At 36.1% G+C, this 27,170-nt stretch overlaps 1 protein-coding gene and 2 long non-coding RNA genes across 5 annotated transcripts in view, besides 1 other annotated feature; 1 reads left to right on the forward strand and 2 right to left on the reverse strand.

The window, feature by feature from the left end:
• The window catches only part of LAMA2 (laminin subunit alpha 2), a 633,429-nt gene that overhangs the window by 584,013 nt on the left and 22,246 nt on the right, over positions 1-27,170 (forward strand). The window contains exons 52-58 of one of the 2 annotated variants that reach the window (NM_000426.4): positions 6,064-6,202; positions 8,240-8,251; positions 11,543-11,663; positions 14,113-14,289; positions 19,324-19,472; positions 24,751-24,927; positions 25,165-25,333. In NM_000426.4, coding sequence (NP_000417.3) covers positions 6,064-6,202; positions 8,240-8,251; positions 11,543-11,663; positions 14,113-14,289; positions 19,324-19,472; positions 24,751-24,927; positions 25,165-25,333 — 944 coding nt within the window. The remainder of the gene's footprint in view (positions 1-6,063; positions 6,203-8,239; positions 8,252-11,542; positions 11,664-14,112; positions 14,290-19,323; positions 19,473-24,750; positions 24,928-25,164; positions 25,334-27,170) is intronic. The other variant, NM_001079823.2, reaches the window with a different exon arrangement.
• LOC124901401 (uncharacterized) lies at positions 12,463-19,324 on the reverse strand. Its single transcript, XR_007059767.1, has 2 exons — positions 14,633-19,324; positions 12,463-14,540 (listed from the first exon to the last, which is right to left on the reverse strand). It is a non-coding gene; the product is annotated as an uncharacterized LOC124901401 (long non-coding RNA).
• Positions 23,422-24,621: an enhancer, noted in NCBI's record as "P300/CBP strongly-dependent group 1 enhancer chr6:129811717-129812916 (GRCh37/hg19 assembly coordinates)". NCBI's record gives its function as "activates an origin of replication core promoter dependent on BRD2, BRD4, P300/CBP, MED14 and CDK7 cofactors, with strong dependence on P300/CBP, by STARR-seq in HCT116 cells {active_cell/tissue: HCT116}" and the evidence as "EXISTENCE:reporter gene assay evidence [ECO:0000049][PMID:35650434]".
• The window catches only part of LOC102723409 (uncharacterized), a 77,085-nt gene continuing 75,246 nt past the window's right edge, over positions 25,332-27,170 (reverse strand). For both annotated transcript variants that reach the window (XR_001743860.2, XR_007059756.1), the window contains one exon: positions 25,332-27,142. This is a non-coding gene — a long non-coding RNA (uncharacterized LOC102723409). The remainder of the gene's footprint in view (positions 27,143-27,170) is intronic.

Consider the following 27,170-nt stretch of genomic DNA (forward strand, 5'->3'; position numbering starts at 1 on the left):
ACCACAGAATACTATGCAGCCATAAAAAAAGAAGGAAATCATGTCTTTTGCAGCAACAGGAATGGACCTGGAGGTCATTATCCTAAGTGACATAACCCAGAAACAGAAAATCCAATACCATATGTTCTCACTTACAAGGCGAGAAGCTAAACAATGGATACACGAAGACGTGAAGATGGAAACAATAGACACTGGGGACTCCAAAAGGGGGGAGGGAGGAGAAGGGGTGAAGATTTAAAAATCGCCTGTTGGGTACAGTGTTCACTGTGTGGGTGATGGGTCCACTAGAAGCCCAAACTTCACTCTTATGCAATATATCCATGAAACAAACCTTCATATGCACCACCTGGATCTAAAATTGTGAAATAATAAAAATAAAAATAAAGACATTCGGAACACTAAGCTGAATTGGCTAATGCTATAAACTCTAAAGATAGTAATATGCTTGGTAGATGTACGGTATAACAAACAGGGATAAAATGATTCAACAACTTAGGAGAACAATTTTTATAAATGGTCATCTTGGAAACGCTAATTTCCATAATCAGTCTGCTATCTCAACTTTTATTCTATCCATTAAAACAAATAAACAAAAGATCTGTGCTCTGAATCAATATTAGTCAAAGGTCAAGTTACAGAATCATATAAATGTGAAAGTAGTTAAAAATATGTTTTAGGTTTACTGTAACTACAGCATTCCATCAATTCAGAAAGTTCTTCCCCCAATAGGTCTAATTTTTCCAGATTTTACTAGAGCTACTAACTGTTACTGTTACTACTCTGTGGTCCAGAAATCAGAAAGAATTTTCCTTTATCCCAGCCTACTCAGTATCTTCTGTGACATTTCTGGTTTCTAGTTCAATCCCTTTGACACAGTTGGCTGATACCTTCTCATTTATAAGTCTTCTCCTTGGCTTTCAAATTGACTCTAGACTCACATTGCTTTTTGCCTTTCTGAATACTCCTGTCAAATGCACCAAGCAGTCATTCTCACTTTTATTTTGGGTATTAATGACATGAATCATTCTCCTTACTTCTCTATTGTATCTCTATGGTATCACCGTTAAAAAGAAATTAAGCCCTATGAGGTTTAGTTGTTCAGAATTTTGATTCTTAAATTAGACTGGGAACTTCTACCTTCTGCCCATGGTTGTTACCCATTCTCTATTATCTCTGGTGTCTCACCACAAATTTCTCAAGTTAAACAGGTGAAATTTTTTATTATAATAAAACTATAGCTGTTCTGTTTTTCCACATGTCTTCTCATATATCCAATATATTTTCTCTAATACTTTTAAAGTATTTTATTACTATAGCAGGTCAGTTAATATGTATTAATTTTTCCTTATAAAAAGAAAAGCATCGAAGCTGCAATGGAAAAAGCAAATGTTATAAACAAATAATTCACAAAAGAAAAATGCAAACTTCTTACATAAAGTTGAAAAATGCAATCTCAATAGATGACAAGCATATGGTCATTGACTTGCAGTAGCAATATCCAAAGATCACACTTAAAGCAGTAAAATCTAAATTTAAAAGGAAAAGAAGAAAGGCTTGGCAAAATAACCTTACTACCTGCTTTGATAAGATTAGCTCTTACAGGACACATTTATTAAATACCAACTATGCATCAGATGCTGTGCTGCATCAGTGAAGATGCATACGGTTCCTACCCTTGAGTAACTTACCTGCTGCACAAGTAGCAAATTACTGTATCTGTTTAGGATACAGTAAACACCAAGGGAGACATATGGAGGGAGAGAAATAAGGCACTAACTGAGCCCTAAGTCCTTTTTTAGTTGAGGGGGTAGGAGGGGTGGAAGCAGTTGCAGGCGATCCAGGCCAAAAAGCATCATATGAAAAGATAAACATGTATAAAAACATGAATTATTTGGGCAGCTGTTGTAATCAGTTTGAATTATTGGAGTTTAAATTTCAAAAGAGTGATAGAAGATAACGCTGGGCATGTTGGCAAGGGCCAGATCACAGGAAGCTGTTTAAACTGTGTTGAGGAGTTTGCATTTCATCTTGATGAACTTGATTTTAAGTAGAGATGTGACAGGGTAATTTCAATTTAAGTATATTACTCGAGGTGTCAGTGTGGAAGACATATTGTCAGAAGACCAAACTGAAGACAAAGCGAACAATTGGATTCAATAATAGTCTAGGCAGGAGGTAAATTATGCTTGAAGTAAGAGATGCAGTGGGAATTGACATCAAAGAAATGCAGAATAAATCCACCATGTGATACCATTACACAGCTATTAGAATGACTAAAATTAAAAAGACTGACCATACTCAGTACTGGCAGAAGGTGGAGACACTGGAACTCATACACTGCTGCTGAGGATATAAAGTGGCATAACATTGGAAGAGGTTGGCCATTTCTTAAAAGACTAAATATACATCTACCATACAAACCAATCATTTCACTCCTAATTATTCACCCAGGACACAAGAAAGCATATTTTTTATAGAAAGACTTGTACCAAAATGCTCACATTACTTTTATCTGTGTTACTCAAAAACTGAAAACAAATCACATATCCATCGACAGGTAAATAGATATACATAAATTGTGGTATACTCATACAATGGAATACTAGCAATAAAATACTCAGCAATAAAAAATAAAGTATTAATATAGATACAAAATGGATGAATATCCAAATAGGCAGACAAAAAAGGCAAATTTAGGCAGACACAAAAAAATACATTTGTATAAAATTACATAGAAAATGTAAACTAATCTATAGTCACAGAAAGCAGACGGATGCTACTTGTGAATGGTATATGTACGAAAAGGCAAAAAGGAGGGATTACAAATGAGCATAAAGAAACTTCTGGGGTGATGGATGTGTTCATTGAGTGTGGTGGTGGTTCTGCAGGTGTATACAATTACATGTTACAAACATGGTTTAAATTATAGCATGTTAATTATTCCTCAGTAAAACTGTTTTAAAAATAGGACAGATATTAGAGGTATTTAGGAGAAGAAATTAGTGAAGCTGTTGATTGATTAGATGTGGTGAGGAGAAAGTCAGGATGACTCTCTAGTTTAGTAGATTGGGTGGGGGGGTCATAAGACCAACAAAAAAAAGTAAGTTAAGTAATACAGATTTGGGAGTTAGATGATAATTATTTTGATTTGGAATGTTTAGCTTAAAGTACGCAAGGAAAATATAGATGATGGTGTCTCACCTGTTGAATGTGGACTTTTAGGCAAAAATCAGGTCCAAGCATACATACATTTAAGTCATCAATACATTGTAAGTAGATATAAACTTGAGTTTGCCCAGATGGCTAAAACCTGAGATGTGGGCAAAGGAAGGGATATTATAAAACATCAACATTTTAGAAGTGTTCAAAAATAGACCCCAGGGTAGGAGATTGAGAATGAAAGGTAAAAGAAGCCAGAGAGCTTGACATTATGGAAGCCAGAAGAAATTTCCTATAGGGAAGGAAATGCTAACAGCATTAAATATTGCACAAACATGAATTCAGATAAAGTTTAAAAGAACTCCACTGAGTTTGGGTATAGGCAGGTCCCTGAGGACTTTAGCAAGACCAGAGATGACAGAGTAGTGGGAGAGGAATTGAAATAAGGCTCCAGCAATGTGGATGATTGCTCCTTTTCAGTGACCAGATTATTTGTTTTATATGAATTATTCTCAACTAGTTGGCAAGAGCACTGTCTCTTGAAATTCAAGTACAGTCCTTCAGGAGTGTTCCCCATCTTTCTTGAGTCAGTTACAGAACCACAGTCCCTGACAGAAGTGTGCCCTATCCCCTAAATGCATCAAGTAGGATGCAAAGTTGAGAACACTCAATTAGATTTTCAGTGGATCAAGAAAGAGAACAAAAGAATAATAGCCAAAGTAAAAACACTTAGCTTATAACAACTCAGCATTGATTATAAAATATTTCTTAAGTCCCTACTCTGTGTCTATTATTTAATAAAATCCTTATTTCCCTACCTACTTATAAATCACATCTGAACTCATCAACTGTGAAATTTTGTGTCAATAGCCTACTTTTCTATTTTGTAAAGAAAAGAAATAGGGTAAGAAATAAAAGCAAGCATTAGCATTTACTAGCATTTCCTGGTAGAACCCACTTCATCGCTATCACTCATGAAGGATAGAGTAAAGCACTCCCTTTAAGTCAGTAAAAATATGCCATCCTGTCTCTCTGCCAGTTACCTTTTGGGCCAGTGAATTTCAATTCAATTGTGTTGCTGCTCTTTAATCATGTTTTCTTAGAATGATTTCTAAAAATGCATATATTCATTCATGGATAAGGAGGAAAACCACCTCCAGTCACTGGCTTGCCTGTGATAGAGAGGCAGAATCTCATTTTCAGACACCATTAAAATACCCACCAAGTCTGTAGAAAGAGACTATTTTCATCTTCCAGTCAACAGCCCCATATGAAAATACCTTTGCCGATCTAGATAAAAAGGAATGTATATGAAAAAGTCTTGAAAACAGTTTTATAAATCTATTTTCTTTTAGCCCCCAGTCCAGTCAAGGAGATATATGTGTATGAAACTAATTATGTATATAAAAATAATAAAATAGGTGTGTGAAAGTAATTCAATTTTAAAATCTTAACTTGCTAGCTATATTTAATAGGACAATTATTCTTTTAGGTATTTTTCTTGTTTGTTTTTACAAAAGTCTGGTTTGAGGTGTCCATTGGTATGTGTATTTTAGTCCTTTTTTAATAAGGCAATTGTGTTTGATTTTATTGAAGACACATCTTTTTGAAATGATAGGGCTATAAACTTCAAGGGAATTTTGGAATTTGATGTTTCTCTCTGTTTTCCAAAGAACACTGATTCTGAAAGATGATGAGTTGAGTGAAAATAATAGTATTTCGTGGTCAAATAAATTTGGGAAATACTTTTTGCTCTATGTCCTTCTCTAGGAACATTGCATTGCATATTAGCATGCTGAAAGATCTGGGCAGCTATAAAATTAAGAAGATACATGTTTAACTTTGTATAACCCAGTATTTGTCATATTTATTTGAGCCAGGAACATCCAAGAAACTAGCATCCTAAAGAATAAACATTTAGAAATTCCCTTATAACCCACTGGTTCAAATGCCCATTTTCAAACCCTTGCTTATTCAGATCCTACATCAGACAAAGGTTTAGAGGCCAAATCTATCATCTTACGGGACTGATGTCAATACGCATCAAGGATGCATATGAAGTAGTTAAAGGCTAGATCTAAGGACATGTGGTAGAAAAGCATGTAATTCAGAAAAAGCCTAGCTTGACCCCTAAGAAGGGGGCGGTAGTGAGAGGGATCAATGAGATAAGGAGTTCCTGTCTGCTTTCTAAACAATGCAGTTTGAACAGAGAAGTGCCTCATCTTTCCTTTTTTCCATCTATTTCTGAATTCTTATCTTCATCACATTAAAAATACCTTGAGAGACCCAAAAGAAAAGCAAGAAGGCATGAGGACTGTACCTCTGTCACAACACTTAGCATCCTGGTCTAAAATGTAATTTACAGTGTACCTGGATCTCACCACTTCCTTGTACAACATCCCCTTCCACTTCCATGTACAATCATATTTTACAACAGTGACACTTTGCAGATGAGTCTAAATCCCAGTAGTTCCTGTGGATAGTAAAACTTACAGAAAGAGCCATAGATTAGGCATATTTCTAATTAATTATCTGATTCCTAATTAGATATCTTTGTTATTTAGCATTTTTAACCTTGCTTTATTTTCTAACTACTTATCTAGATTATAGAAAACTACATCAAATGGATCTTTGATGTTCAGTTATAGTTATCTCTTTTATCTTCATTGGTTTGCCTTCACTGGTGTTCAAGCTATTATTTTCATGCTCTTTGGGGGATAGTTTAATAATGTATTTTATTGATGTTATTTCTGTAATTATTAAATTGCTAAATATAGTGCAAGTGCTTGAGAAAGTCAATGTTAATTCTCGAATTAAACCAAATTTGTCTTGAAGTATTAATGATGATATAGATGTGGTTGATATTGCTCAAATAAAATGTTAAACTTTCTTTCTCCTTTACAGCCAATATATCAATTGTAGATATAGATACTAATCAGGAGGAGAATATAGCAACTTCGTCTTCTGGAAACAACTTTGGTCTTGACTTGAAAGCAGATGACAAAATATATTTTGGTGGCCTGCCAACGCTGAGAAACTTGAGGTAATTTAGTTTATATGTAAAGCTAAGGATTAAGTTTTAATTAAATGACCACTATGCTCACTAGAGTTCTGAAGTTTAATTACAATAAGAATGTCATATAACCCTTGGTTGCAGAAAGGCCTAATCAAAAACATCATGTTGCATGTTAGAACAACACCAGGATTTAGAAACCAAAGGACTAATTTGACATCTTTGTTGAAGAGATGGATTGGAGTCGCTGTTTCCTTTATATGCACCTGCTGAAAAGAATTATGAAAGTAATTAAAGGTAGAAGCCAGAGTTGAATGTGGATCTTGTAATTGCTGTTCTCCTTCTACATTCACTGGAGATAATGGCACTCTGACATTGCTTAGTGTTCCGAAAATTAGTCAGTGTTCCAGGATGCTATGAGTATAACCTATTTTATTGCTAAGCATTAGCATCATAATGGCGTGTTGGAGCTTTCCCATATGCCTAATACAAGAACTATATTAGTTGTTCTCATGCCCATGCCAACATTTTTTTTTAATTTCACATATGCTTTTTAGCTAGCAGTATGGGGAGACACATTTGCTTCCTAATTTAGTTAGTTCAAAAAATAAAGTAACTAAAAAATGTCAGAAAATACTCACGTGCTGTGTAGTTAATTTACTGCTCATTATAAAACATAACATAGTCTATAAGGATGGTACTTGGTGCTCAATAAATGTTAATTACACTCTAATTAGAATGGGATTAATTGATTTGGTTAAACCGTAAGAGTTTATTACAGACTACCATGTTTTTAATTTTTTGTTTTGTTTAATTAGTTTGGTATTTTTTAAAGGGTATAAAAGTTCTGTCCAGGTGTTTCTACTCCAAAAAGACAGATTATGTTTGGAAAAATCCCAGAATAGCTGAAAAGTGTGATGGTCAGTTATTTTCACATTTCTAAACGAGCAGTGAAAGTTCAGTCTCATTCTATGACAGCTAGTGTGCAGGCTGAAATTTCTTCTCCCCAAATCTAAACTCATAGATGAAGCAACTGTCTAATTATCTGATGAGCTTCATGGTGCAAATAAATTGGCTCTGCATTCATTGTAATGTATTTGTGTTAGAAAAATAAATTTAAAGTGTCAAGTCAGAAAAACATTACAAATCAAATTTAAATAGTACCACAGTTATTACCTAGAAATTCATTTGCCAGTCATTCACCAAAAGTTTGTTGAGTATCTACTATGTGACAGGCTCCATACCAAATACTAGGAATCCAGTGGTTGTTCAAATCTAAGATTTGCTTTACAAGATCATTAACCATATATTATTGAGTGAATTAAATACAGCCAAACCTAAGGTTATTCAAATCTAGCTTCATTTATTCTAGTGATGATTTTAATTATCATAAAATAATTTTTAGGAATTATCTATAAAGGTGTGCCTGTTAAATTCTATAAAATCTGTTAAAATCTGAATCTGTTAAATGAATCTTTATCACTAAAATGTTTTTACTTTCATGATACAGCATTGCATAATTACAGTATACTATTTCCATGGTGTGGCACATTATTTCAAAACAGCCATTAGAGGTATATTTGTGATTGATAAAGGAACCAAACATTCATAGTTACCTGTTATTTTGCCTGCAGACAGGTTCTCAGTATGACAAAGTGCAAAAGATGTGGTAAACATAAATTATTTTTACATGCATTGTTAAGCTCAAGCTGTTTGAGAGGCAATATTTATAAGCCATTCATGAACACTACAGAATAGTGACATTGTACATTTTCCCATTTATTAGATTGATAAGAACAAGTACTTTAAATTCATATTTCAAAGTAAAAATTTTCCAAGCTGATATTGTGAGCTACGGTCATATTTTGATTCTAATTTCACTGCCGTCAAGGGTATAAGTCTATTTTTAGTTCTATTGGGGCTTTTGCATTTCTTTCCTTTGTAGATCCCTGTGAAATGATTTTTTAAAGATTTATGATTAAAGTTTATTGTTTTACTAAATGAAAATGTAATTATAAGTAAATTGTTTTTATTTTTGTTTTTTTTTTCCTCTTTCCCGTTATCTAGTATGAAAGCAAGGTAAAATTTAAATTTATGCATGCCTTCTTCGAGTGCATGGGTTGGGTAAATGTGGCTTCTTAGATAAAGCAGCCGTGCAGAAGCAGAGCAACACCAGTACAGCTTTGTTCATAGTATGTTTCACGAGCAAGCCGTGCATTCTGTGAGAGTTCTCCTGCTGCCCCTTGCTGGCCGACATTCTGCTGCTTACCCACCATCAGTTGGGCTGCAATTTGAGTTGTCTCACCAGCAGTGATGAGATTTGCTCTGCTCACTTGTTCAACCATCTGCACACAGTGCCCCTGGTGACCAGCAGCACACACTCAAAAGGCAGCTGGTCAATTTCTGGTACACAGTCTAGTTCTGGGAAACACGGTAAAGTGGTCTCTTGAGTTGAACCCCGGGCCCTGGCCTCCCTAGTGCCATGCTGTCTGCTGAAGAATCAAACTGTGCTCTCACATGCTTACCACTGCCTTCTTGCTTTTTGCAGGCCTGCAGATATGCAAACATTTACACAGCCTTTGCACCTCTTGTCAAAGCTGTTTATCTATTGACATGTTTATTTAAAACTAGCTATGGTGCCAGATGAAGGAATCTCTGGAAATACTATATTTAAAATAAGTATTTGCGTTAATAGTAAAGAAGTGTGAGATAGTTCTCCTAGCTTCTCAGGAGCATTTTAATTCTTACTAGCATTAGCATAAAAGCTGTGAGCAATGGGCCTCCATAAATGGCTGAACAAACCTCAGAGATGTGCAGGGCTGGTATCCTCTGGCTAGAGCTAAAAGCCTGGTGTTTTGGCATTTCAGAGCCCAGCTGTGCCAGATTTCTGGAAAGAAGATAATAAAGCCGAACTGATCCAAGAAATTTTTAAAACCGAGGCTAGATTTTTAATAAGAGAAATAGAATATACAGAAATGAAAGTAGGGAAAAATAAACCATGCGTTTTATCATGATACAGTTGTAAGACCACTAGTTGTGCTACATTTGCTGAGATGGCTAAAAAGCGAAGGCTGGCTTTCATGGAAATATATGTTAATAAAATTCTGGGATGGCACTGTGTAGGTTTGTAATTTTGCCTTTGAGTGGTGACCCTCAAGAAACAGGGACCCGTGGTTACCATTGAGTCCAGTCACCTTATGTGACTATTTATCCCCTGTAATTGTCCTAATATTGAGGTTGCTAAATCATATTTTGGAATGGTTCTTTGTGTTTCCATGAAACAATAAACTATATAACTTGTAGGAGTGATTTACTTTAGTAACAAGACCTCTGAAAAAAATGGTGATAAGTCAGTCTTTCCATAAAGGAAAATATGGAAGCAAGTGAACACTGTTAATGAAATTCACCTTCTCTGTGCATTATGCAAGAAAAATATAAGCAGAATTCTCACCCTACAGTTGGGCATGTTCTTTATAACAACCAGCTGACTGACTGAACGAAAAGAAAACCTTGGGAACAAGGAAAAATTATCAATGAAAATAAAGAAGTTCCAGAAAGGAGTGCGGGGGTGGAAACAGACAGACACCTGACATGAAATAAATCACCTGATATACACTGCCAAGGTCTAATTTGTTTTTCCACCTGTTTTTCCTCATGCCATGTGTTTTTCATTAAGATAAAAAAAGGAACTTGGCATCATGGGACAATGAGGAGAGAATTAATCATCACCCTATCAACTACAATATATTGATGCCGACTGGACAGTTTTTACCGATGCTGATTACCACCACATAAAGAATTATCTTTTTCACTTCTATATACCTTCACTATTCAAAATAGTAGCCACAAGTCACAGTAGCTATTTAATTGTAAATTAAATCAAATTAAATAACAATAAATATTCAGTTTCTCATTGAGACAAGCTACATTTCAAGTCCTAATAGCCACATGTGGCTAGTAACTACTGATTTGGACAGTGCAGAAAACAGACAATATCCATCATCACAGGAAGTTCTGTGGAATAGCACTGTTATAATTAAAGAAGTATCATCATCACTGACATTCTGATAGCCTTTGTTTGTTGAGCACTTACTGTGTGCAGTGCTATTCCTTAATTTATTAAACCTTTGCAATTTGATTATGTAGGTACTATGATTATTATTATCATGCCCATTTCACATATAAGAACACTGAGTCTTGGAGAACTTAGATCACTTGCAACATCTGGACTCAAGGGCAAGGACTTCATTTCCTAATCTGCTGGCACACTTGCCCCATTTTATGAAGTAGTATGCAAAAGTAAACATTCAAGTGTAGTTTGAGTATAAAAGTCATTTTTCAATTTTATTGAAAAAATAAAATGTATGGGTTTTTGCATTTGGTTGCTTTATTTTGTTATTGTTCTAATGTAGAATACAGACTTTGGGGTCAATCTGTAAACTAAATTAATCTGTTAAAAAAAAACATTTTTTTATTTTGAGACAGGGATCTCACTCTGTAGCCCAGGCTGGAGTGCAGTGGCACAACCATAATTCACTGCAGCCTTGGCCTCCTGGGCTCAAAAGATCCTCTCTCCTCAGCATCTCCAAGTAACTGGGACTCCAGGCACACACCAACATGCCCAGCTACTTTTTTTGGAGGGGAGGGCAAAGACAGGGTCTCACTCTGTTGCCTCAGGCTGGTCTTGTCTTGAACTCGTGGCCTCAAGCGATCCTCCCTCTTCGGCCTCCCAAAATGCAGGGATTACAGGAATGAGCCACTACACTCGGCCAGTAAACCTAATTTTTAAACATCTGTTTTTTAGACTATATAATCCAAAAGAATGTTTCTTGGACTTTGTTTTACTTAAAAGCCTTAAAGAGATATGTAATATTATCTTATTTTTTAGCTATCTCCCAAGAAAAAGCCTCAAATAAAAAAAAATCTTTTTCAAAATAAATAAACGTTTTCAGATTTTTTTTTCTAACTTTTGAGCAAGGTTTTTAAAAACTTTTTGGTATATAGTTTGTTTATGCTGCCTATGCAATTATCTTCTCTTTGGTGAAAAAAATAAAACTTATTTCATTACACATATAAAGCATCAATAAGAAGTCAGTTAATTCCTGTACCTCATGTTTAAATGCTGTGGGTGAGATTATTGCTAAAGGGGAGAAGGACTACAAAAAGACTCCTTCTGCAGGATAACATGAACATCCATTTAGACCAACCAGTAGACAATGGAAACCAGAGTTTGCTGGGTACACGTGTGCACAGTTTGATAGACATGTGCCTGCATGTGTCTGCTCCACAAGGCTTCCTTCCCATAGTCAGAGACTACACTACCATCACCCTAATGATATTGCTTTTGCTTTTCATTTGACTATTCAATAGGCCAGAAGTAAATCTGAAGAAATATTCCGGCTGCCTCAAAGATATTGAAATTTCAAGAACTCCGTACAATATACTCAGTAGTCCCGATTATGTTGGTGTTACCAAAGGATGTTCCCTGGAGGTTGGTCTGTTTTTGATAGTTCTCTAAACACATTTATATCAGATTTCACTTACTTAGTGTGGCTGCTCCTACAAGGATCAGTCTTTTGTTAATATATTTTACTTTTCTACTGATCCTACTCTTAAACGATAAAGCAAGATTAAAGCATTCTCTAAATTACCATGATAAAAAATGGTATTATGAAGTCCTAGAATTGTGATCCAATTTTCCAAATGTATAGCTCTTTATAGCACATATCATTAATACTAATCTCTTTTCTGTTTTTCTCTTTTTTTCCAACACTACTTTTCCCTTTTCCTTATTTTTGTCATCCATTTTAAATTTATTTTACTTTTATGTGTTGTATATAGCTTTATTAGCAACCTTACATTTTTTCTGGAACCATTGAAGTTTACACAAGTAGCAAGTAGTAATTTACACCGTAGCCATTAGTGCATAGTCTGTTGTCTACAAACTTGAAGTCTAGCCCCCTTGTCTTTGAAATAACATAGACTGGGACCTGTGGCAATCAACTCTGCAAAGACTTGTGTTTGACATGCCTGCAAAGTCCTTTGTTAGCTGATATCCTCAGTAACTCTTCTTTGATGCTAAAGCATCCTAGCATTCCCCTATTTTCGTTTAACTATTTTGCACTGTTTCTTCAGTTGACACTGACCCATATGTGAGAAAGACCCCGGCCATAGCTCTACTCTCTTAAAATATCCATAAGCAAGAGTCAATAGTCAACAGCAAATATTAGCAAGAATTTTATAGAAACTCAATAGTGATCAGCTTGTTTTTAAAATGAAAACGTTAAATATGTCATTCTCATACATTTTTAATTATCCTATCATAATACAATTATTCATTTTGTCTGCTGCTTCTAATCAAAATTATCTTAAACCACTCCAATAGAATTAGGGAAATGAAGGGAAAATGTGGGTAAAGAAAAAAGTAAATCCACCACTTGAATGATGAGGTTTAAAGACTGGAACAGAACTTTCAGGATCTTCATTGTTCATAGCTACAGGCTCCAATTTGGAATTGGCCATAGACACCCACTCTGAGAAGTTTGGGAATAAGAAAAGAGAAAACACATTAAGAACTAAAACTGTAAGGACCCATACTGGCTTCTTAAAGGAAGTTTTACTGAGAATTTTAATCTTCAAAGCCTAACTCTCATTCACATTCAAAAGATATATACATGAGGATGGAAACTGTCCGGAAAATGAATAGCCTCTGCACGTGGAAATTATGATTCCCTAAAGGCACTTTGCAGTAACCAGGAATTATTTTGCAACTAAAATATGAGGCAGAAATTTGATGTGGATAAATATTGAAAAGTCTGCACAGTAGTTTTATCTGAACTATCTAAAACTCCATGATTTGAAAATTGGAATAGAAAACAGATTATACATTTTACCAGCTCTTGTGTCATTTAACTGGTCTTGAAACACTGTGGGAGGAAAATAGCCTACATTAAAGGATTCTTTGCTTTTACTCCTACAAAATCTAGGACTTTAAAAATGAATATTTTAAGCACTTTAAATTCCTAACTACATGGGCTTGCTTAAATAAATACTAGCAAATTCATAAAGTAGAAAGTCCTCCTGCCATTAAAAGTGACTATCTACATTTACTGAGAGAGTGATATCTTCCACATATGTAAGAAAAAAAAGTCATTAGGAATGAACATGTCTATCAAGATTCATTTTAAATACAGGGAGGAGGAGAGAGGAAGATGGCAAGGTTGTGAAAGAGTGAATGAATGAATGAATGAATGAATTATAGAAAGCTATATGCTTCTGCACAGCTTTGAGATTGAGATGGGGAGCTGATTTTCTCCCTTTTGCACCTTATTTACATTTCTACTTGAAATGTAACTGTTTTAATTTTATACTGAGCAAGGACAATGGTATTACTTTAATATTGAGAAAAAACTAGACTATGCGATGTTTGTTTTATTTATTTTTAAGGTTTGGTCTTATCACTGGGGAAAAATGCAGACACAGATAATGGTCATACCCATCTGTAAAACATAAACAATTAAGTGATAGAGTTTATTCAAGAGATATTCGTTACAGTGTTTTCAAAGGAAACTTAGGGACAATCTCCCTAGACATGTACCTGCTTGTGTGTCAGTTTGACTTAAATCTTTGGTTTAAACAACAACAACAAAAAAAGGTACCTAACAGTGATAATCTTCTATATTTAAAATCAAAAGCTCTAGAATAAAAGTAGAGGCTATAATTCTGATTTTAACAAAAACTGCTCAGAAGATTTGAAGTTATCATATAACTAGAAATAATATTTCTTCAACTGCTCTTAAACTTTCCATGTTTTCCTGCTTTCTAAACCTATGATGTATTTCATAATCACATTAATTGCATCGAGGAGGGTGAGTGAGATGGAGAACTTATTTAAATTTTCATTTCTAATGGTTTCTACTCTTCTTTTCCTTTACTCACAGAATGTTTACACAGTTAGCTTTCCTAAGCCTGGTTTTGTGGAGCTCTCCCCTGTGCCAATTGATGTAGGAACAGAAATCAACCTGTCATTCAGCACCAAGAATGAGTCCGGCATCATTCTTTTGGGAAGTGGAGGGACACCAGCACCACCTAGGAGAAAACGAAGGCAGACTGGACAGGTACCCTCACACCTAGCTGATAATGCATTTTCCCTAATGCTTATATAAAGCAGTTAACTTACTTTTGTATTTTTAGTTTCGTATCATTTATTTCTGCTCTCATCTTGGCTAGCAAGGACTGAACATTCCATATTTCCATGCTGGCCTCCTATTTCACTCACATCATCTCCCCAGGACAATTGTCTTCTCTAGGATGTTCCTGTTGATCAATTGTAGGTGCAAAGTCACCCTCATATTTGCACCTATATTTCCTATGGGTTTAACATATGCATATGTAAAGAGGACAGCTTAAAATATATTCACATTATCTTAATTTCTACTGTCTCCAAGTCCGACTCCTTACCAAATCTGTAGACAGTCAGCTTCGGTCCCTTAAATTTAAATGTAAATTCCTCTAAGATCATTTTCCCAGTTGCACAAGCTGAAGTAATAGTCTTTTGGGCCTGACTCATCCCATCCTCTCTGGACACAAAGAAGGGCAGAAAATGGATCTGGGAGAAAGCAAGTAGAACACAACCAACACAGACAGGGACAATTTTATCCCAATAGCATTCAAGGATGTTAAAGCCTAAAGAATGTCAACCAGCCGGGTGTAGTGGCCCATGTCTGTAATCCCAGCACTTTGGCAGGTCAAAGCAGGAGGATCGTTTGAGCCCAGGAGTTTGAAACTAGGCTAGGCAGCATGATAAGACCCTTTCTCTACAAAAAATGTTTAAAAATTAAATGGGCATGGTCGTGCACAACTGTGATTCCAGCTATTCAGGACTGCTATTCAGCTGTTCACGCCACCACACTCTAGCCTGGATGACAGAGTGAGACTCTGTCTCAAAACTTTTTTTAAAAAAGAGTATCAATTTTGCAAGGACATAAACTTTAGTATCTATATCCCCTGTCCATTTGATTCTGTTAAAAGCAATCCCTCAACTGCCCAGATTTAAGCATCATACCTCTTATTGCCTTGGTATTCTTTAATATCTTCAATCACATTTTTTAAAACGTAATTTTCCATTTAATCTAGTTTTTCTCAATGAAAGGGTTCATAGGAATTATTTTGTCTGCCATGACCAAAAGAACACAATGCTTTACAAATATATCCTTAAGTATGCACATACCCTTGTAAACCAGATCATGTTATTTGTGATTACGTGTTTTAAAAATCAATTTTAGTATGTAACATTTAGTGATCAATCATATTATGTAACAAATCTTATTTATTTTTCTAAAAAATACAAAGCCCACACAAAATATTCACAAAGAGAACCCAAAGATGTATAACCACGAGTAACTTGGATTATTTCAGGAATGCAGAAGTGGTTTAATGTTAGAAAATCAAAATATCAGCCAGGCACAGTGGCTCACGCCTGTAATCCCAGCACTTTGGGAGGCCAAGGTGGGTAGATCACAAGGTCAGGATTTCGAGACCAGCCTGGCCAACATAGTGAAATCCTGTCTAATTTGTATACTAAAAATACAAAAAATTAGCCAGGCATGGTAGCAGGTGCCTATAATCCCAGTTACTTGGGAGGCTGAGGCAGGAGAATTGCTTGAACCTGGGAGGCCGAGGTTGCAGTGAGCCGAGATTGTGCCATTGCACTCCAGCCTGCGCGACAATGTGAGACTCCGACTCGAAAAAAAAAAAAAAAGAAAAAGAAAAAAAAGAAAATCTAAAAATAATATAATCTTGTCAATAGATAGTAAAAACATTTGGTAAAATTTAACAGTCATTCATGATTTTTAAAAAATACTTAAGTAAACTAAGAGGAAGGAACTTCCTTAGCCATCTATAAAAAAAAAACTATAACAAGTATTCCTGATTTAAAAAAAAGACATTATAAACATTTGCTATAAAATCAAGCCCAAGAAACAGATGACTATTTTGACTGCACTGATCTTAGCTAGCATAGTAAGAAAAGAACAAGTAAATATAGCACAAGAACAAGAATAAGAACAAATATATAATTTAAGAATCATTATAACAAAATAGACATAAAGCCCATATGGAGAAAATTATAAAATTTCATTGAATGATACCAAAGTATTTCTCAATGATTATAGTCAATAAATTGGTATAGTCAACATGTTAATGAAGATATTAAAGACTCAATATTAAAAATATGTCATTTCTCCCCAAAATGATATGTAGATTCAATTATAATAAAAATATCACCTTATTTTTCTGTGAATCATGACAGCTTATTCTAAAATTTATATCAAAGATGAAATTCCTAGAATAGAAGAATAGCGTAGTTGGGGCTGTTCCACCAGATATCAGCACATTAGAAGGTAAAGTTTTGTATTGTGGAGCTATCATGTTAATTCATGTATAACTGTGCAAATAGGAAAGAATTGAGAACCCTGAAAATACACAAGCATAGATGGAAACAGCATTTGACAATAAGTGGCATTGCATTTCATTTAAAAAAGACAACAGTGAACTGTTCAGTGAATGATTTCAGGGCAATTGGTTATTCATATGGAAAAGATGAAACTAAATTTCTTTTTCATATCAAACCAAAAAATAAATTCACAATAAATTAAAGTCTTAAATATGGAAGGACAAAAATCTTTAAAATTCTTAGAAGAAAATATACCAGGATTAAATTTTGACCTTCGGGAAAAGAACACTTGATTGAACAAAACAAGATTATGAGTGGAACTGCATTAAAATTAAACTCTTTGGTCATCAAACAACACAAAACACAAGCCTCAGTCTGGAAATGTACAGTATATATAATCTACAGGGAATACAGTCCTTGTCCCCAAAAGGGGAAAAGCTCACTGCAGTTTATAATGGGATATCGAAACCATACTGGTTGTTATAGTATTAGAAAGAACAGTATTGGAAAGATGTGAATCAAAGAGTGCCCTTGATCACTGCTGGTAGAAAAAGTAAATTTCTAAAGTCACTTTGGAAAACAATTTGGCACTATCTCCTGAAGTTGAACATGTGCATACTCTCTACAAGCCAGCAATTCCACTCCTGGGTACAGACCCAGATTTTTGCACATGGGCATAATAAGACATGTACAAGAATGTTTATAGAAGTATTCTTTATAATAGCAGAGAAACTAGAAACAACCCAAGTGTTCATCAGCTGGAGAACAGAGAGGCAAACTGTGGCACTTTTGCATAATGGGATATCAAGGAATAAGAAAAAGGAATAAATTATAACTAAATATAACAACATAATAAATAGAAAATAAATAAAAATGAAAAATGTGCTATATGGTACCATTTTTGTAGATTTCTCATACAAGTAGCACTAAACAACATATTGTTTACAGACACATGTGAATTTCAAAAATATTTTTTAAAAGTAAGGTAATGATAAACATAAAATCCACATTTGTGGTTACCTCTGAGATGGAGAAGCAAGGAGATGGTATTAGAAAGAAACTCATAAGAGATGCAATGGTATTGTTTCTGAAATTTGGTGGTAGATTTACAGGTATTCATGTTATTATACAGTGTTAACGCAGCTTCATCGTTTACATGTATATCACTCATATTGTGAAGAATATATCAAATAGTCGTAATAAAAATATTTTTGAAGAGTAGAGGGAGAAAAGTGTTATTTTATTTCATTTCTTACTACACATAATAAGCACTAAATAAATATAAAATACAAATGCCCTCGTCAATTTTTTTGTTTATCTTGAAAAATAAACTTTTTTCTCATATTGCAAATGATAAGCTAGTTATAATAAGAATACCAGATCAAATATTCTGAAATAGATTTCCACTAAAGGATACTTGATTCCTTCATCATTGCCAGATATTTAAACACTACCTACTGGCTCCAAATTTCTCCTCTTCAAGATAAAAGAAATGAATGTGAATCACCAGCTTTCAGGATAGTGCTTAAAATAAAACAGATTCCTATTAAAACAATTACAATAAGAAAACACTATGTAGTATAGTATAAAGTAAGTTAAAATGACATTTTAATGTTTTAACATTTTAATAACTCATATCTACTTTATAAAATATCATAGTATATGCTATCTGAAGGAGGAACCAATGTTAAATAGTATAAGTCTGTTAGACATAATTAGATTTAGATTCAGTGCTGGTTAAATTGACAAGTTTTATATTTCAAAGCTAACGGTTTTGATACCCATAGAGTTATTTGTGATTCCTTTCTGCTAAATGGGTTTGATATGGCAAACCATCCATGAGCTAAGGAATTTTTAATTGAGTAGTTTGTGTTTTCCCTTTGACAGATGGTGAGCACTTATCCAGATCCTCAAAATGTTCTGTGGTGGACACGTAACTACATACATGATTTAGTAAATTATTGGAACATGATGATGTTTGATGGAATCTGTCTCTACCACCATAGATGACTCATGGAGAACTGAGCCATCACTGTGTGGCAGGTGCCCCCATACTCCACAAGAAAGGGAGAGCACGTGGCATCAGCTCTAGGGACAAGGACTGCATTCAGGCTCCCTGGGGTTCATGATGGGATATCAAAACCACACTGGTTGCTATAGTAACAGTAGCAAGAAGAAAGCAGGCATGCTTGTGGATGAAAAATTATCTTCCTTCTTTCTAAATGTGGGAGGCAGGTTACATGTTTGTGATAGCGATCTATTCTACCAGCTCAGAGAACAAATTGAAGTCTAAATACTCAGAATGCCACAAGGTTGGGAGTCAGGCCTGATTCTCAGAAGCTAGCTGTCCACTTGTGAATATAAGGGAGAGGGATTTTGTTGACACCCTTTGTCTCCTGATGGGTTTTATAAGTTAGAGGACCAACGCAAGCACAGCTGTTACTTTCAGCATCACAAATCTGCTTTGCAGAGAACTGCTATATTAATATATCCACTTTCCAGATCATCTCACAAGCAAAAATGGTAAATGATTAGAAAGATATTTCCAGCTGTTTTCAAAACCGTTTGAGAAAATAAAGTCTTAATTTCTCAGGTAAGATCTCAGAGCAGACGAACCTGTGGTTCTGCCAGGGAATCTCTAAAGCTAAGCCATAAATGAGACTTCTGTTTAATCTTCAATAACCACTTGCTGTTGCAGGCCTATTATGCAATACTCCTCAACAGGGGCCGTCTGGAAGTGCATCTCTCCACAGGGGCACGAACAATGAGGAAAATTGTGATCAGACCAGAGCCGAATCTGTTTCATGATGGAAGAGAACATTCCGTTCATGTAGAGCGAACTAGAGGGTAACAATAGCACTAAAATATTTATTATTGTAACTCAGGTGAACTTCCTTTGCTAGCATCGGTATCTATCAGTATCTGCCTGAACCTCTGTGTGTGTGGACCTACTATGCATTGCAAAAGGATACCGTAGCTTAATTCCCTCTTCTTTACTTTTCATACTTCGGGAACCTCATTTGCCTCAGCCCTTAGGAGTTCTACCCTTAACATTTTTATTCGTGCAGTTATCTCCACCTTTGGAAAAACCAAATGCATTTTCTGAAGCTATAAATAAGAAAAATCCCTCCCTCTGCCCCTCTTAAATATTACCTCCTCAAATAAGGTATGCACACAGCAAAACTCACAAATCAGCTCCACTGGAGCCAGCAGGCTTTGGCGGTTTCTATCTCATTCAGGTTCCAAAGCAGTTATGGCAGCTGCTTAGCTGTCACAGATACAGAGTGTGGCAGCAGCTGCAGGACCTATTGAGCCTATTAAGTGCATATCTTGTCCCTGTCCCCCTTCCCAAGGTTTGCAGGGTCCCTGCAGAGTGGCTTTCTGAGGGAACAGAATCAAGGGAGGGGAGGAAAATGACTGCTGCCCTGAGCCTGGCCACCTTTTTACAAATCTACCAGAGTGCTTGCCCCAGCCCTGGGCCAGGGAATTGGCTTTACTCATGCACAAACTGATGACTTTCTTTAGAATGCTGCAATACTTTATACTTACTTTATTAGGAAAGTCATCTGTATTTTTCATCAAAATATTGTATGACAACTCAGAGAGATAATTAGTTTAGAAGGACAATTAGAGAAAAAAGAAACAGAAGCCCAGAGACTTCAGGGGTTCAGACCTCCAAGCCAGCAATCCATTTATCAGACTGAAGACATAGAAAAGAACTGGAAATCCAATTTGATGAGGCCTCAAAACACAGAGGATACTTTTAAATGCAACGAGTATGAATATGTAGCAGTAGTTCAGCCAAGCCAATACTATCCTGCAGTGAAAGACCTACATTTACTAATTATCCTCTTGGGGAAAACATTTAGATAAGCAATAAAGATTTCTTACCTTCTAAGTAAACAACAAAGCTTTCCTCAGTTTTTATTATTATTATTATTAGGTAGAGGATTAGGCTGTAGGATGAATTGATACAAAGCGTTCATGCAGAATGGCTACTGAGACGTTTAGAAACCATGATCGAGACAAATGAGGGATCATTTATTTGGACAAACTGAGAACTTTTACTAATCTAACAGCCAGATATTGTAGTCATGGTCTCTGAGGAGAAATGCAAACTGAATGCTCTCATTTGAATCTTAGAATGCTTTAGAATCCTGGTTTCACATGTCTTCTAGATTAGATGTTAGGCCCTTTGACAAACTTTAATCCTTTTCATTGCGGAAAGGACTTTTTAAAAGATTTAAACTTTAGCCGGGCGTGGTGGCTCACACCTGTAATCCCAGCACTTTGGGAGGCCAAGGCAGGTGGATCATGAGGTCAGGAGTTCGAGACCAGCCTGGCCAATATGGTGAAACCCCGTCTCTACTAAAAATGCAAAAACATTAGCCAGACATGGTGGTAGGCGCCTGTAATCACAGCTACTCTGGAGGCTGAGGCAGGAGAAATGCTTAAACCAGGGGGACAGAGGTTTCAGTGAGCCGAGATCGCACCACTGCACTCCAGCCTGGGCAACAGAGCAAGACTCCAACTCGGAAAAAACAAAACAAAACAAAAACATTTAAACTTTAAGGAATTTCAATAAGTAACTGCAGATTTGAGAAATTAGTTTACCGAAATCACTCAAAATGTGTTATTTTGTTGAGAAAGAATTCTGGAATTCCCAAATGCATTACACTATTGTACCACTATGCCACTATGTCCTTTTAACAGGTGCTTCTTCAAGAAGGGCATTTTATTATGCCAACTTCACAGCTGTTGACCATCAATCCAACCTTTATTTGATTAAGCTCAGTATATAGTACATCACTGGAAACCAGTCATTTAGTTAATTGGCCATATAAACGAACAGTTTTGCCATTCATTGTTAATTACAGGATAATATATGACATATTAGTGTGTAGTCACTGAACTCTGTGCCAAAACAGTAATACATTTGCTACCATAATGGCTCATTCGGCACTCTAAGGTTAAAATGCAATCTACTCTATAAGCAAGTGCCACATTAAACTGATTGACCAGAGATCGCAAGTGACCATGAGAACTTCACCCAGAAAAAATTTTTAATGCTTTATATGCCTATTCTATGGCATGATTTGTGTCACATACTAGACAAAGATGATTTGTTTTCATTGTTCTGAATGTATGTGAGATCTGTAATAACATCCTTTCATCACAGATGAGAAAATATTAACTAACCTGCCCAAAATCATGTACTACAAATAACAGGACCAGGTATTAAATGAGATGATATATTTGACTTAAATACCTCCATCTATGCACAGCCAATAGATTATTCTTACATTTTTGTGTGACCATAAAGGTTTATATTACTAAATGTTGATTATGATGTATGATTATTAATTTGGAGATATTTGCATTATCCCAACACTTTTCAGATTTTCAGACTATGCATGTCAGTCATCATTTCTTTTCCTAAAATCCTGGACAAAATGATAGCTTTAATACCGCCTCACAAAATAATTGGATTTTCACCAAACTGGGGGCCAAGCTTCTCAAGAAGCTCCTTCTCCCTTGTCCTCTGCCTCTCTTTACTCCTCCTCCCTCATTCTCTCTCCCTTCCACCCCTTCATCTGGAAAAATCTCCCTTTAGTCACTTTGGTATCTAATTTCTTGGCACTCCAGTGACCTCTGCCTCCTATATCTGCTTTGTCCTCTGATCCTTCTCCTGGCATCCGCCTTGGTGGCCAGCAGTTCTTACTGGACAAAAACATCAAACCCTAAGAGCCTGAAGTAGTTACTTAAGCAAATAGGACAAGCAACTGAACTGAGTTTTTCTTCTGGGAAAGCTTTCTTCACACAGGTACAGAAATAGGCTAAAGGTCAGGAAGTAGGGTGAGATATTTTAGGAGTCATTTGGGGTTTCCAGAATGAGATAAAGATTTTAACACTGAACCCTAAATATTTTCTTTCTTAACATCCAAAGTATGTTCAAACAGAAAAAAGATTAGATTCTATTTATTATGTAAATTACAAACATTAGGACACATTTCTCTTAATATCTTCTTCCACGTATGCAATCCAACTGATATGGTTTTAAAAAAAATCTTAAACCCACATTCCAAACAAATAAGAAATAGGGTATAAGTAATCAAGTAATTATGAAACTCTAAGAATCAGCCACTGAAACTGTAAAAAAAAAAAATAAAGCTGACCTATTACAATACTAAAGTAATACAAAGTTTAATGTACCTTTTTGCACATAGCAGGCCTCAGTAAAAAGCTGTTAAATAAATACTTTTTAAAAATGGAAAACACACCAGAATCATAATGGACATATTGGCAATGTCCTTCTCAATAAAAACTAAAGAAATGATCTAGATTTGATGTTCCTAAAAGGTAAAATAGGAGCAGGATTTAGCTGTAGTTTTCTAGCAATGCCCTTTTTAAGTAATACAGCCTCAGGGCAATCCCTTAATTAATATTTTCCGCTGTTTGAAGTAGGTATTTTTATCTCCATCTTATAAATGAATGAAATGGACCTGAGCATGATTAAATAACTTGCCCAAGGTCACACAGCTAGTAAGCTTCCACACTAGTACTTAATTCCAGTATGTTCCTCCTGAAAGCCCACACTCATTCTCCATCACCACCCTGTGAATTGGTTTAAAAAAAATAAGGGTCACTATGATGGTCCTTGTGGCAGAACCACACTACAGAGAGAGGCTACACCAGAAAGAGGAAGGCCTCTAGCTTTTTAAAATTCTAATCAAGAACAGAGATTTACTCTCCTTGGACAATCTTTAACAGAGGCTTATATCCTTCATTAAAACCTTAGAAGCCCTGTGATATCATGTTGCTAAGAAGAGGCTGCTTTCAGCTAAAGGGGAAAAAGAGTGTAGGGGAGGGGCTTCTCAGTGAGTCACACATACCCGGAAGTGAGTGGTTTTCTGAAATTCTCGTCTCAGGAAACCACCGACACTCTTAGCAAGGAAGCTGAACCTCCTGGGTTTTGCCAACACATTTTTCCATAGTTTGGTAAAGAAAGAAACCTCAAAAGTATGTCATTTCCCCCTATTTTCTCTTTGAAACTAAATTTTACCGGTCCCTTCTTCACCCCCTTAACAGTGACGTTTTTGAGCCACAGCGAAATCCATTTTTTGTCCCTTTCTCTTACTTTTGAATTATCTTACTTGTAAAGTGCCAATTCAGAGCATCTTTACCCTGGCTTATTGTTTTTTCCAGTTCTACATGTGGTTTTACTTCTTTATAAAGTCAAGTAAGAGGGTACTTTAGGACTGAGGTTTCCATCCAAGTACTCCGGTTTTCTCTCCAGATATGAAGTAAGTTTTCAGTAATCCATTCATGATCCCCAGGCTAGTGACTAATGCTTATGACTAATAGCACCATGATGACTGTTAAGACCGAAACTCAAAACTTGCTTCCGGAACAAAAGAGAAAATGCCTTTGGTCATTTTCATCAGAACTCTTTGTCTCCTTCTGATTCTTGGCCCAGGGATCCAAGGATTGTTGTAAATAAGTAGCATGAGGTTCTCAATTAGCAGTGTGTGAGTTCTCTCTCATAAGCAAATTAGGAAAATTAATGAAACAGCCACTAAGGAAAATCATTGCAAGGAACAATTAGCAGGGTGTCCTTGCCTGCCTCTTCTATTCAAAAGCCATCAGCTACATTCTTTATAAAAGGTGCTTTAAGTGTTTGCTGTTGATTCCTGCAATCTAAGCTCTCAGGAGCATGGTTTGTTCCCTAGCAAGAAGATAATAGCCAGCACAACCCAAGGAAGACCCCATGCTTTGCTAAACCTGCCAACCCTTATACGGTTAGACATTACTGCACACTGCAGAAGCCTCAGTTCTCACAGGCTCATGTGTTGGGCTGCACAGCGCTGTTGTCAGCTCTACAAGAGGCTAATGTTGCAGTGCGCCATGACCTGGTTTCAGTAAACTTTCAGGAAGAGTGAACGAGGGAGTCATGGAACGAGATCCTGAGAACAGCGTTTGCTTAGTGTAGAATTCCTAAGCATCCAATTTTGGCTCCCTTAAAAGCTATGGTTGAGAGGGGTGAAGGGTGGCAGGAAAGAATTTGATTTCCAACTGTATTGAATCAGATGTGACTTATACTTGTTTATTTTTAATATTTTATCAGCATCTTTACAGTTCAAGTGGATGAAAACAGAAGATACATGCAAAACCTGACAGTTGAACAGCCTATCGAAGTTAAAAAGCTTTTCGTTGGGGGTGCTCCACCTGAATTTCAACCTTCCCCACTCAGAAATATTCCTCCTTTTGAAGGCTGCATATGGAATCTTGTTATTAACTCTGTGTAAGTGGATCTCCTCATTACTACTACTAATTTTTTATTTTTATTTCTTGCTATTAGGGGTCCCAATGCATCTACATTGTCTACAGCTATGCAGGGGAGGAGGGAAACAATGAGGATCTTCAACTTAGACTGAGAAAAGCACACTAATGGACTTAAAAAGGCATGCGGGGATTGGGCTTAATTGTAAGGAAGCAAAAAAACGAAAATAAAAAAATCTTATTTATTACATTCTATTAGCCCCATGGACTTTGCAAGGCCTGTGTCCTTCAAAAATGCTGACATTGGTCGCTGTGCCCATCAGAAACTCCGTGAAGATGAAGATGGAGCAGCTCCAGCTGAAATAGTTATCCAGCCTGAGCCAGTTCCCACCCCAGCCTTTCCTACGCCCACCCCAGTTCTGACACATGTAAGTGTTTATATTATCCCCATTGCTTTCTAATTTTTACCCAGTATTCTGAGTCATTTCAGAAGGAAGATTATTCAGGATATCTAGTACACTCTGATATTAGAATTGAAAGAAATATAACCTATCTAAACCTATTCTTACATCTTCATTGAATGACTTACCTATATTTCCATCTTCAATTTTGTTTACAAAACAGTACATTTTCAGTTGAAATGTTGGAAAACACAGAAATATCCAGAATCATGAATAAAAGACACTTATAATACCATGACAGAGGCAACCATGTTGGTTTCCAGGCCCTTTTATCTGCATAGTAGATGTCCTACCTTGTATACAATTTGGTGTCCTGTTTTTAGAAACTAGTAATACACCACTAAAACTGTTTCTAGGCCAGGCGCGGTGGCTCACGCCTGTAATCCTAGCACTTTGGGAGGCCAAGGCAGGCAGATTGCCTGAGCTCAGGAGTTCGAGACCAGCCTGGGCAACCACGGTGAAACCCCGTCTCTTCTAAAATACAAAAAAATAGCCTGGCATGGCGGTGTGCACCTGTAGTCCCAGCTACTCAGTAGGCTGAGGCAGGAGAATCGCTTGAACCCAGGAGGCGGAGGTTGCAGTGAGCCGAGATCACGCCACTGTACTCCAGCCTGGGCAACAGAGCGAGACTCCATCTCCAAAAAATAAAAATAAATAAATAAATAAAAACTGTATCTAAACATCATATAAATGTGTATGTCTAATATGATTTTATGTTAAGTATATATACACACAGAGACACACAACTATTTTATAGTATTGGAGGTCATATAGCCTTGATTAGAGCATGGGCTCAAGTCAGACTGCTGGTATTCAAATCCCAGCACTGTAACCGACCATCTGTGTGAATTTGGGAAAGCTACCTGTCCAATCTATTTCTCAGTTTCCCATCCAAGTACTAACCGGGCCCAACCCTGCTTAGCTTTTGAGATCAGAAAAGATCGGATGCTTTCAGGGTGATTTGGCCATAGACTATTTCTGTTTCCTCATCTGTCAAATGAGGATATTAACAGCACAGACATCAAAGACTTTGTATCAGAGTTTTAAAAGATAATGTTTGTTCAATGACTCACATATACTGAACGTTTAATAAATGGCATAAGTACTATGTAGTAATGATAATAATGAGTACTTTCACCAGCCCAGGGCTAAACAATTTTCATTCAATATTATATGTAATTCTCATAACGGCTCTGTAAAATATAGTCTTTCTACTTTTAGTCGAGTTAATAAGAATTAGCTATCTTAAGCAACCAACCCACTCACACCACTAGTAAAAGGCAGAGTAAGAATTTTATTCTAGCGAGTCAGACTCCAAAGTCTGACTCCTTATCTCTGGAACACTCTGCCTTTCCAATTTATTCTACTTTTAATAGACCATGGTAGGCTATTGAGAGTGTTTCCAGTTTTTCACTATTAGAAACTATACTCTGATGAGCTCCTCTATGCATCAAGCTTTTTCATTATTTCCAGTTATTCTTAAAATAGATAAGTAGTTAGGAAATTATAAGGCCAAAAGATGAATATGTCTAAGGTTTTCAATACACATACCTGAATTGTTTCTTCCACAGGCTATGCCAATTTACATTCTTATCACCAATACAACAAAGATGGTCACAGTCACTACACTCTTTACAGCTCATGTGTTGTGGTTATATTCCATACCAGTAATGGGTGGGCAATGTTGTCTTGAGTGCAGATCTTGAAAACTCTTGAATATCTCATTCTCTTCCTTAGTGTCCACGATGGAATTGGTTGAGCAATGTGCTCCTTGCACTAGAAATAGTTATTCAATGAGAGGCCA

This window comes from Homo sapiens, chromosome 6 (genome assembly GCF_000001405.40).
Source record: "Homo sapiens chromosome 6, GRCh38.p14 Primary Assembly".
NCBI classification, from domain to species: Eukaryota; Metazoa; Chordata; class Mammalia; order Primates; family Hominidae; genus Homo; species Homo sapiens.